This window comes from Homo sapiens, chromosome 5, assembly GCF_000001405.40.
Source record: "Homo sapiens chromosome 5, GRCh38.p14 Primary Assembly".
NCBI classification, from domain to species: Eukaryota; Metazoa; Chordata; class Mammalia; order Primates; family Hominidae; genus Homo; species Homo sapiens.
The window spans coordinates 56989222-57002053 of record NC_000005.10 but is presented as its reverse complement, the minus strand read 5'-3'; the positions used below and the strand labels follow the sequence as shown (position 1 = coordinate 57002053).

Genomic DNA, 12832 nt, shown 5'->3' with positions numbered 1-12832 from the left:
CAGATAGCGTTGGCATGTTAATTTAGAATGATGGGGAAAGATGCCAAATTTCACCTAAAGAAGTGTTGAATGTGCTTCAGAACTATCTGGGATGATTGCTAGAAATATAGATTTCCAGATACATACCAGACCTGCAGACTAGGATTATCTAAAATCTAAGTCTGTGTGTACATGTGTGTGTTGAGTATGTTGGAGTCAGGGAGCTTGGTCATTTTTTAAAATTAGCAAAGTGAGCTTAATAGGGACATAGCAAGTATTAGGTTGGTGAAAAGTAGTTGTGGTTTTTGCCATTACTTTTAACAGCAAACGCTAAATTTTTGCACTGACCTAATAAATCCAAACTAACTTATGTTCAATATTGGTAAATGATGACACTATTGAACAATTGTTGAATACTAATTAACATTTTCATTTTTCACCAACCTAATAAATCCAAACTAACTGACATTCAATATTGGTAAACAATGACAATATTGAATAATTGTTGAATACTAATTAACATTTTCATTTTTCATTATGTATTTAAACATTTTATTTAGAAGTAATTATAGATTTACATGCAGCTTTAAGGAGCAATGCAGAGAGATCTCATATTCCTTTTACTTATTTCCCCTTAATGGTAACATCTTGCAAAACTATAGTACAATATCACAACCAGGATATCGACATTGGCACAATCAAGGTACAGAACAGAACATTTCCATCACCACAAACATCTCTCATGTAGTCTTTTGTAGTGTTGGGGCACAGAAACTGATACCCCAACATATGATGCTTTGACATGGTGCAGTGAAGAAGCCTCGAGATCTCACTGGCCTTCCCCTCATCCCCCAACTTTCCCTCTCAACGCACAGGACAAAGTTCCTTTATCTGCCTAAGATCTAGATCCACCAAACGGAACAATTGTTTTTTCTTTCCCTCTCTGTAAGACCAAAAATGTAATCACACCTGAACAGACCCTTTCACAGGATAATGTACAAGTTGATCCGTATTCCCTGATCCATTCATTCTCCCTAGTAATTCCTTCAACAGAATTCTTCTTCTCCCCATTCCCATAACCTGTTTTGCCAGGGTGGATATAAACTTCTGAACCTCACTGATGGGGGTGGATAATCACTCTGTGGTTCTCTCTGTTTATATACATTAATAATATTTGTATGCCTTTTCTCCCATTAATCTGCCTTTTGTGAGTTGAATTTTCAGTAAAACTTCAGAGGGTGAAGGGGAAGTTTCTCTTGGCCCCTACAGCAGCCATACTTACTTCCCTAACCCCATACCCCAGTCCTTAGCTCCTGGCTATGGCAGTTTTTTTTCTCTAATTTGTCATTTCAATCATGTTGTATAAATGGTTACATTCTGTAACCATTTTGGATTTTTTTTTCACCCAGCATAATTCTCTGGAGATTCATTCAAGTTATGCATATCAGCAGTTTGTCCCATTTTGTTGCCTGGTTGTGTCTGTCATATGGTCTGAATGTACCATAGTTTGTTTAACCATTCACCCTTTGAAGGACATCTGGGTTGTTATTAGTTTGGGACTATTATGAATAAAGCTACTACAAACATTTGTGTATAGATTTTCGGTGAACATAATTTGTCATTTCTCCAAGATAAAAACCTAGGAGTGAAATTGCTAGGTAGTATAGTAGGTGCACGTTTAGTTTTGGAAGAAACTTCCAAACTACTTTCCAGAGTGGTTGTACCAGTTTACCTTCCCATTGGTAATGTATAAGCCATTGGGTTTCTCCATGTCTTTGACAGCATTTGGTATTGTCAGTCTTTTGAATTTTAGTCATACTGATATTATGTAGTGATATCTTATGGTTTTAATTTGAACTTTACTAATTGTTGAACATCTTTTCATGTGCTCATTTGCCATCTGTATATCTTCCTCAGTAAAATGTCTCTATATGTCTTTTGCTAATTTTCTAATTGTATTGTTTATTTTTTACTGTTAAATTTTGAATGTTCTTTATATATTCTAAATACTAGTTGTTTGTTAGGTTAGCAAATCTTGCCTCCTAGCCTGTAGTTTATATCTTTTTATCCTCTTAACTAAATCTTTCCTGGAGCAAAAATTTTAAATTTCAATAAGGTTCAATTTACCCCCACTTTTTTTTTTAATGGGTTATGCTTTTGGTTGGCAAGCCCAAGAACTCTTTACCTAGCCTTAGATCCTGCAGATTTTCTCCTTAAAAAAAAAAAGTTTTACAATTCTGTCTGGGCTCACACCTGTAACCCCAGCATTTTGGGAGGCCAAGGTGGCTGAATCACCTGAGGTCAGCAGTTCAAGACAAGCCCGGCCACATGACAAAACTCCGTTTCTGCTAAAAATAGAAAAAATTAACCTGGAGTGGTGGTGGGCGCCCAGCTGCTTAGGAGGCTGAGGCAAAAGAATCTCTTGAACCCAGGAGGTGGAAGCTACAGTGGCCAAGATTGTGTCACTGCACTCCAGCCTGGGCAACAGAGCGAGACTCTGTCTCAAAAAAAAAAAGTTTTATAATTCTATATATATAGTATGTATAAGTCTATGATGCATTTTGAGTTAATTTTTACATAAGGTGTGAGGTTTGAGGTTAATTTTTTTTTTTTTTTTTTTTTTTGGTCTATGGATGTCAATTGCTCCAACACCATTTGTTGAACAACTATCTTTCCTCCACTGAATTGCTCTTGCACCTTTGTCAAAATTGGTTGGACATACTTGTGTGGGTCTGTTTCTGAGTTCTCTATTCTGTTCCATTGATTGATATGTCTATTCTTTCACTAATACAACACAGTCTTGATTACTATTGCTGTATAATAAGCCTTGAAATTGAGTAGACTGATTTCTCTCATATACTCTTCTTTTTTAAAAAAACTTTTAACTGTTCTAGTTGCTTTGCTTCTTTATATACATTTTAGAATAATCTATATTTACAAAAATCTTGCTGGGATGTTGAATAGAATTGCATTAAACCTGTATATCAATTTCAGCAGAATTGACATATTTACTATGTTGAGTTTTTCAATTCATGAACATGGGTATACCTCTCCATTCATCTAAATCTTCTTTAAATTCTTCCATCAGCACTTCATAGTTTTCAGCATACAAATCCTGTACATGTTTTGTTAGATTTATACCTAAGAATGTCATGGGTTTTTGAATAATTCTAAATGATATTGTATTTTTTCTTTCAGTGTCCATGTGGGTGTTGTGTGTGTGTGTTTTGTTTTTTTTTTTTTTTTTGCTGGTATTAATGTGTGTATGTTTTTCTTGTAGCCTGAGACTTTGATAAACTCACTTGTCAATTCTAAGTGGTCTTAAAATTTTTTTTGTGTATTTTCTATGTAGATAATCATGCAAATAGAAACGGTTTTATTTCTTTATAATATGGTTACCTTTTATTTCCTTTTCTGGCCTTACCACACTGACTGGAACTTCCAGTACTACATTGAATGAGAGTGATGAGAGCAGACATCTTTGCCTTGTTCCCAGTTGTAGGGGGAAAGCACTCAGTCTTTCATCACTTAGTGTAATGTTAGTTGTAGGTTTTTTGTAGGAGCTCTTTGTGAAGTTGAGGAAGTTCCTCTTTGTTCCTAGTACATTGAGAGTTTTTATCAATGGATAAAAGAGACTTTTTATGAATGGATGTTGAATTTTATCAATTTTTTTACTTGGCTGGGTGCAGTGGCTCACGCCTATAATCTCAACATTTTAGGTGGCTGAGGTAGAAGAATTGCTTGAGGCCAGGAATTCAAGACCAGCCCGGGCAACATAGCAAGACCCCATCTCTTAAAAAACTTTCATTCTTTATCAATGATATAATCATATACTTTTTATTTTTTAGCATGTTGATATGATGAATTACATGGTTTGATTTTCAAATGTTGAACCTACCTTGCATACCTGGAATAACTCCCATTTGGTCTTGGTGTACTATTCTTTCAATATGTTGTTGAATTTGATTTGCTAAAAATTTGTATCTAACATCTAGGTAAGTGTGTGTGTGTGTGTGTGTGTGTGTGTGTGTACATGTGTGTATTGGGGTGAGGGACATGGTTGTTTTTAATAAATATCCCAAGTGGTTCTAATGTCTTTGGTCCCCAGACCATACTTTGAAAGATGCTGTCCGGGCACAGTGGTTCATGCCTGTAATCCCAGCACTTTGGGAGGCTAAGGTGGGTGGATCACTTGAGGTCAAGAGTTCGAGACCAGCCTGGCCTACATGGTGAAACCCCATCTCTACTAAAAATACAAAAATTGGCTGGGTGTGGTGGTGCATGCCTGTAATTCCAGCTACTCAGGAGGCTGAGGTGGGAGAATCGCTTGAACCTGGGAGGCGGAGGTTGCAGTGAGCCAATATGGTGCCACTGCCCTCCAGCCTCGGTGACAGAGCAAGACTCCATCTCAAAAAAAAAAAAAAAAAAAAAAAGAAGAAAGATGCTGAGTTGAATTAGAACTAGAACCATCTCTAACAATCAACTAATGATTTAGGTCAAGTAAAAATAACAGAATTAAAATAACTAGCTCACGAACTAAGGCAGGATTTCCAGTGTCTAGAAGGCCTCATTCTATACAGGAGATGAAAGTGAAAAGTCTCAAGACCAGCTAGAATACACTCCTGCTCCAGAAAGAGACCAGGGCTGCCATACACTAGGTGTATGGTGCTTCTCAGTGCCAGACAGATGGGCTGGGAGCCTATAGAGAGAAAGGATTATAGGATTCTGGAAAAGATTTAGAAAACCATCTTATCTTACATAGTGACACCCCCAAACTGTCCTAAGCTCAGAGTTCTTGTACTTTGGCCTACCATCCAGTGAAACAGCATCGAAGAGAAGGACATGGTTCCTATGAACCCTGTAAGTTGTGCAAACAAACCAGTCTGGAGGTCCTCTAGTTACACTAGTATCAATAGCTTATTTTGTGTAAAAGAGCCTTTTTTTTTTTGAGACGGAGTCTTGCTCTGTCACCCAGGCTGGAGTGCAGTGGCATGATCTCGGCTCATTGCAGCCTCTGCCTCCCGGCTTCCAGCGATTCTCCTGCCTCACCTACTGAGTAGCTGGGATTACAGGTGCATGCCACCATACCCGGCTAATTTTTGTATTTTTAGTAGAGACGGGGTTTCACCATGTTGGCCAGGCTGGTCTCGAACTCCTGACCTTAGGTGATCCACCTGCCTCGGCCTCCCAAACTTCTGGGATTACAGGTGTGAGCCCCAGCACCTGGCCAAAAGAGAGCCTTTTTTTTTTTTTTTTTTTTTTTGAGATGGAGTCTCGCTCTGTAGCCCAGGCTGGAGTGCAATGGCATGATCTTGGCTCCCTGAAACCTCTGCCTCCGAGGTTCAAGTGATTCTCCTGCCTCAACCTCCTGAGTAGCTGGGATTACAGGCCTGCACCACTACGCCCGGCTAATTTTGTATTTTTATTTGTATTTTTAGTAGAGACAGGGTTTCACCATATTGGTCAGACTGGTCTCGAACTCCTAACCTCGTGATCCGCCTGCCTCGGCCTCCCAAAGTGCTGGGATTACAGGCGTGCACCACCGGACCCGGCCAAGAGGCCATTTTTTATAATCTCTACCAGACCACTTCAGCTCCGGTGAAACTAGAGAGAACTGAGTGCCCCTAGAGGCTAAGATTGGTATTGTCAGTAGCCCTCATATCCGGCAATTTTTATTTTGCTAGTGGTCCTGAGGAAGTTACACAGGTGAGAACTTTGCTGGGGCTGGAATCAGGGACACCTATAGCGGCTGACTCATTTCTTCTCAGAGAGACGCACTTCCCAAGGGCAGAGTGGTGGAGTGCTGGGAACCAGAACAACTGACAGATTAGCCTGGCAGGTGATAACAGAGACAACTTTTTCTATTACACTGCAGCTCAACATGGAAGAATACCAGCTGCAGGGTTAAAAACTATAAAATGCAAACATGAAATAAAAAAGAAAGTCTCTGCAAGTAGGCTCTGCAGTGTGGGGGCAGTAGAGAGAGCCCTTCACAATCATTGCCTAAGAAGGAATAATATTCACATCACTGCACCATCTTTGGTTTGTAAAATAATAACAGGTACCATATGGTAACTGCTTACTACATGCCAGGAGTAAACACTATATACATTGGGTAGTACACACTATATATATTATTGCTAGTCTTCACATCACAGGTAAAATAGCATGAGCATGTTAAACCAAAGTATTTGTTCTAAGTAATCCCTGGGGTGAAGTCATCCCATAGATACCATTGCCAGGCCACTCATGAGGCATTCAGAACATAGATGTTTACATCATAGTACAGAGTGGACGACACTCCCATCACATGGTTAGGCCATAAAGCCCTCTGCTCTAGCAAACCATCAACAAGGAGCACATAACTGAGAAAGTGAAAAGTTGAACTTCATACTTTTTGGTCTTAGCAGATTTTAAGGGGAAAAGGGGTCTATGAAAAGAAAAATAGAGACCTTTCTCTTCTTTATTCCTCAGGGCTGACACTTGGGATAGGGATTGAAACATCCAGTAGGTGGTAGAAAGATCCAGAGATCCAAAGAATGTCAGGGCTCTTCCTTCCCCAGGAATTTCCTGGGCTGGGATGCTTTCATCACCATGCCTGGGGAAGACTGTTGGGTGAGGAAGGCTACTACCCTGCAGGAAGGGAACTAGGGGAGTCATATCCCACTCTCACTCCCCTCCTTCCCTCTCATGGCCTTTCAGGCCTTCTCACTGGCCAAATACAACTGGAAGCCAGTAGACAAAGGAACCACTGAAGTAGTGCATTCAAGCCAGCTTAGGCTTGCAAAGAGCATGGTGGAGGAGAGTATAACTACAGGGGCAAATGGAGACACTTTTCATCTCTCTGTGGCCCTCCTACTTCCAACACACACAGACACACACACACACACTCATTTACTCTCACACACACACACACACGCAGTAACTCAGTCACTCTCAACCTAACTGTTTTTCACCTTGGATCATAGTCACTGTACTGTGGGGTTTGCGCATGTGCTTCCTTCTGTCAAAAACACTCTTTCTTTCACCTATATTCATCTTTTCAGTCTCAGTGTTGACATTGTTTCCTCCAGGGAGCCCTTCTTGGTTCCCAAGCCTGGGCTGGATGCCCTGACTCTGTGTCTCGCAATAGTAGTACTTAACATTTTTAAGTGTATACAGTGGCAGGGGCTGTTCTCAGTGACATCTAATGTGTGTTAATTCACTTATTCCTTACAACTTTATCAGAAAGGTACTATTGTTGTTTCCAATTTACAGACAAGAAAAATGAAGTACTGAACAGTTAATGATCAAGGTCACCCAAGTAATTAATGGTGCGATCTGGATTTGGGTTTGGACAGACAGAATCTAGAGCCCATGCTATTAGTTGCTGTGTTAAATTGCTTTCTGTTCCAAACTGTACTCATCCATAGACCATTCAGAGTGTCTGGTACATAGAAGGCACTCAGCAAATACTAGATTTAAATAGTTGGTTAATTAAGCTATGTAGGACTGGGGTCCTAAGTCAGTTTCTTAAGAACATTTGTGTGAGAAGGATTTGTTATCTAGCTTTTGCTTTGTCCTCATCAAATACTTACATGAGATTCTGTTTTAATGCAGAAGATCTGTCTAAGAACTTCTGGTACACCAGAATTTATTATCCTGGTTGCTATTGGGAGTTGAAGTATCCATGTGATTAAGGATTTGACAGCACAATTTCTGCAAAAACCATTAATGGTATCCACTTCAGCAATTATATTTATCATTTCCCACCTGGGAATTCAAGCCCTATCCTTTGCTCACATGGATGTGCAGTAACTTATGCATCTGATGCAGTGTCTGACGCCACAGTTTCTGCAAAAACCATTAGTGGTGTCTGCTTCAGCAATGAGGTACAGGAATCGGCTCTTGGAAGACATCAAAGAAAAGAAGAGGGTGGCTATGTAGATGAGTTGTGGGAAGATGGTGTAATGTACAGGAAGGAAACGGCTCTAAGGGGGAAAGAATGAAGAAGGCTTATTGGATTCCATTAGATGAAGAGTTAAACTGAGATAATACCAAAGTGAAGAGAGTCGAGAAACTAAAATTTTAGAGTGTACCTTTCATATGGCAGGCACTATCTTTTAAATAATGATTCCTTTAATCATTACAACAACCCAGAAGGATATTTTTCAGTTTACAGATGAAAAAACTGAAGGCCAAAGAGGTTAAGTACTTGCCCAACATTATCCGGAAAGTGGCCCTGCAGGGATTCAAAGCCTGTGTTCGTTCTGCAGCTCATAGCCCTCCTGATACACAGCTTAGAGCTCCAATGCCTGGTACAGAGGCCAAAACATCACTCACTCACTCACTTATTGGTTCATTCATTTATATACAAGTATTTACACAAGTGCTGGGGATATTACAGTGAAGAAGGCATATCCATGGCTTCAAGGATCACATTAATCATGGTGAAACCTGCAATGATAGGACGCTATGGTAGTGCCAGAGCATCTAACCCAGTCTTGGTGGAGGTGAAAAGAGACATTGACCTCAAGAAAGGCTTGCAAAGGAAACTCATTCAGTTGGATCCTTGAGAGACTGGGAATTAGCAAGGAAAGGAAGTGGAGCAATATATTCCAGAGAGAGGATACAGCTGGTGCAAAGGCCTGGAGATCTTCCAGAATTGCCAGTAGCTCCGCAGGAGGTAGGATGATGGCAAGAGATGAGACAGGGCAGATAAACAGGGTTCCAAATGTGTAAAGCCTTGTGTAATATATAAAGAATTTTGGACTTTTATCTTGAGAACCATGAGGAGCTAATGTAGGGATATTATTGGACTTGTGGTTTGGAAGTCTGGCTATGGTGTGAAGAACGAACTAAAGGAGAAAAAATGGAGGCAAGAATAACTTGAACTAACATAGTGGCACTGGGTTAAGGGGAGAGATTCAGAAAATATCAAGAAGGCAGAATCAACCAACAGGACTTAGTGATGAACTGGCCATGAGGAATAAGCGGGGGAAAAAAGAGTCAGTTACAACACCGTGGTTTTTGGTTTCTACACAGAAAGGTGAAATTGACGTTCACTGAAACAGAGTGCAGGAGGAGACACAAGCTTGGAACAGACTGCATTTACTTTAATTCCGGGACATTCAAATGGAAATGCCAGTGGGCAGTTTGTTATATGGGTCTGGACCTCAGGATGGAGACCTAGACTGAATAGAACAATTTCAGTTATCAGCATGAAGATCATTGTTACCACACTTGGTCAGGAATCAGAATTGCCTCTGGGGCTTTTTTTTCCTTTTGCAAATGAAGAGGTCTGATTTCATCCCAAACCAACTGAATCTCAAAGTTTTCAGGTGGCAGGATCTAGAAACGTAGGTTTTTAAAGAGCTCCATTGGGATTCTGTTGCCCTGTCAAGGTTAAAATTTTTTGATATGTGTGGTAGCCATGAAAGTGTACTGCTCACACCTTCAAAAGAACCTGCCTTGAGAAACACAGCCAGTCTCCCTTTGGATCCAGCACCACGTTAACACCAAGACAACACTTCCTGGCTGGCACAGGACGACTTAACAGGCAACTTGGGCTCCAGGATTCCAGATGGGCCTGACTGGAACTTTCTTAGAACTACCTGGAAATCTGAGACGCTTTTTACCCAGACCTCCTTTGTTCCCCCTCTTCTTTCACCTCTGTCAGAATAACATCATGATCTGAATGTTTTCCCAACCTACTCCTGCTCCCTCACCTTTATCCTTCATGGGTGCTTTCCCCAATAAATCTCTTGTGCGTCTTGATGGATGCTTCTTGGGAAGCCAGAACTGACACAATGTGGCTGATAATTGAAGGCATAGACATGGTAGAGATCATTCAGTAGAGAAGAGAAGGCCAGACAGAACCCTGAGGATCACCTACATTCCCAAGATAGGCAGCAGAAGAGGTTCCTAGAAAAAATGGAGATGAAGCAGCCAAAGAAGTAGGATGGAACGCAAGAGAACATGACCTCACAGAAGTCCTGGAAAGGGAGCTTCAGGCCGGGCGCGGTGGCTCATGCCTGTAATCCTAGCACTTTGGGAGGCTGAGGTGGGCGGATCACCCAAGGTCAGGAGTTCTAGACCAGCCAGGTCAACATGATGAAACCCCATCTCTATTAAAAATACCAAAAAAAAAAAAATTAGCCAGGCGTGGTGGTGTGTGCCTATAGTCCCAGCTACTCAGGAGGCTGAGGCAGGAGAATCACTTGAACCCAGGAGGCGGAGGTTGCAGTGAGCCTAGATTGGCCCCCTGCACTCCAGCCTGGGTGACAGAGTGAGACTCCATCTCAAAAAAAAAGAACTTCAAAGAGGCTGATATGGTTCATATAGTCACAGTGGTCAAATAAGGACTCAAAAGATTTAACAGTATGGGCTGGAGGTCTCAGTGACAGTGTCTTCAGTGGAATTAGAAACACAGATTGAAGTAGGCAAGGAATACAGTGTAGATGAGGAAGTGGAGATACTGAGGGCAGACATGCCTTTGCAGGGTCTTGTCTAAGAAAGGGAGAAAATAAGATAGGGTGGATTTGGATTTGAGAGTTTTTCTTTAATGAATTCTATACATTTCTTTTCATAAGATGGGAGATGCTAGGGCCTTTTTAAATGTCTCCAGGAAGGAGGTAGTATAAGGGCAAGAGTGAAGAGCAATGTTGAGAGATGGTGGAACCAGATGAGATCACTATGAGATAGAAAGAATAGACTAAGAGGCAGGACTCCTTTCTCATCTTGGCAATGCGGAAAAGAAGGAAGAAGAGCTACAGACACAAGTAAACTTGTGCATTGGGTTCCAGAAAGTTAAGCGAGTTTCCATATGATGGCTTCTATTTTCCTTGAGGTTAAGTCTCAAGTGAGAGGACAGTGAGCAGTGGTGGGATATAGGTAAAAAAAAAGGAGAGAGAAGTTAAAATAATTTCTGTAGAGAGTGAGAAGTGAGCTACCCAGACAACAGAAGGATTGTCAGGCAGCCACTGAAGACCTGGTTGGAGTCCATGAGTTCAGAGTGGCCTGACTACATGTGTTTGCATAGGTTTTTTTTTTTCCCATTAGACTATGTATGGGGCACAGAAGGCAGGTGGATCGGTTCTTCAAGCTTGGAGTGTTGCTGGGCAGGTGTGATGCAAGGACCATAGGGGAAGGCAGTGAAGGAAACTGGAGAGAAAGTGGTAGAAGTAATGGGCTATGAGGTCTAGATTCGATAGAAAAGGAAACAGAGAGGATGAAGAAAAAAGAAAGTCAAGAACAGACAATGGAAATTTTAGAGTAAGGGAAATAGAAGGATAGGAGATTTTGATCGTTAGCAGAATGTTTGAAGATTTTAGAGGTGGAATCATTTCAGGTGGTGGTGAGGTCTCAGGTATGGCAACTGGAGTAGGTGAATGTGATGGCATTTGGAGTTGAATAGGTAAAGAAATAAGGTGCAGAAGTGCTGGATGGGTCTTTCATACAGACACCGAAGAAACTATCAATGATAATAGATCTGGGGAATGACGGAGATGGTGGACAAGGAGTCAGGGTTTACAGGGAATGATGAGCCATAATGAGGAGGTCCACAAGTGAGAGGAAGGAGGAAAGAAGGGCAGCAAAGCCAGATTATGGTATGGGTCTTAAAGGAAAAAAAGGATGTAGTCAAGCGGGGAAGAATTGTTGAGGGAAGATTCTTTCAAGCTAATCTCTTACTTGAGGAGGACACATGGAGTACAGGAGAGCAAGAACCAAGTGGTCAGAGGGCTGCAGAACAAGCAATTTCCTTCAGAATGTCCGGGTTTCTCTTTAGGTGAGGAGATGCAGGAAATATTTTGTGATGTTGAAAATTCAGCAGAGTTAGTATCTGGGAAACAGGGTTTCACGGGAGCACCATGGGCAGATTTGGGAGAAAAAGGAAAGGCAGTGGGTTGCGGCAGGAGAAAGGAAGGACAACATAGTAGAGAAGAGAGTCTGGGAGAGAAGAGATGGCAAAGCAGTTTCATCTTGACTGGTGTTCAATGTTGACAGGAAGTAAACCAGGATGCACTCATAGCAGGGTTTCTGGAAGAAGTATCCCCACAATGCCTTCATGAATAGGAGGGCCTTGGGTTTCTGTCAGAAGTCCAAGCTCAGGTAGATTATATGTCTAAAAGAATTCTAGTGTAACGACCCCTTGAGCAATGACAGTATCATAGTTTCACCATTCTAAGATGATGTGAATTGTGAGGTCACCCAACTCAGAACAACTTTCAGGGGGTGAGAAGGGAAACAGTATGTTTATCATGCATCATGATTTCAGAAACGTTACCACATGAAACATTTATGACTTAGTCAAGAAAATACAAAAGGTGCTTCTGTATAACTTCATCATGTCCCTGGTTAATGGAGTGGAATGTACACTCTATTTCTTAAATGAATAAAGGAGAAAGGTGTTGAGAGATGGCCATTCAGAGAGAATAAGAGGAAATGAGATGAAAGAGCTGCCTGGGTGATGTTAGTGAGGATTTCCTAACAGCGATCATTCTAGTTTGGTCTAATCTTTGTTTATCACAAAACTGGGTTTACACAAAAAACAAGATTGTCTCCTCCCGAGGGACTTTAAATATGGTAGATTTCTCATTCCTTGGAAATGGGTTTCCCGGCTGTAAGCCAAAATCTAGATAATCTCTCAAATTATTTACCAAAGTGACTCTTCTGCCTCCTTCACCCCCATAATTCCCATTTGTGTCTTTACCCAGCCAGTTTAGACCCTTGCTTATATGTAGGGCAAAGTTCCATGTAAATAGGCTTTATTTAGTCTTTCTCTGAGACTTATTTCTTTAAATCCTAAAATAGAAAGTTAACAGAAGAATTTCCTAAGTTTTTCTCCACTCTATTTACATTTCAAAATGAGCAT

General features: G+C 41.0%; 1 annotated feature.

Moving 5' to 3' along the window:
- Positions 12663-12832: an enhancer, noted in NCBI's record as "experimental_86269 CRE fragment used in MPRA reporter constructs". NCBI's record gives its function as "activates a minimal promoter by MPRAs in K562 erythroleukemia cells, with activity observed for both the introgressed and non-introgressed 5:56285134 variant alleles {active_cell/tissue: K562}" and the evidence as "EXISTENCE:reporter gene assay evidence [ECO:0000049][PMID:34662402]".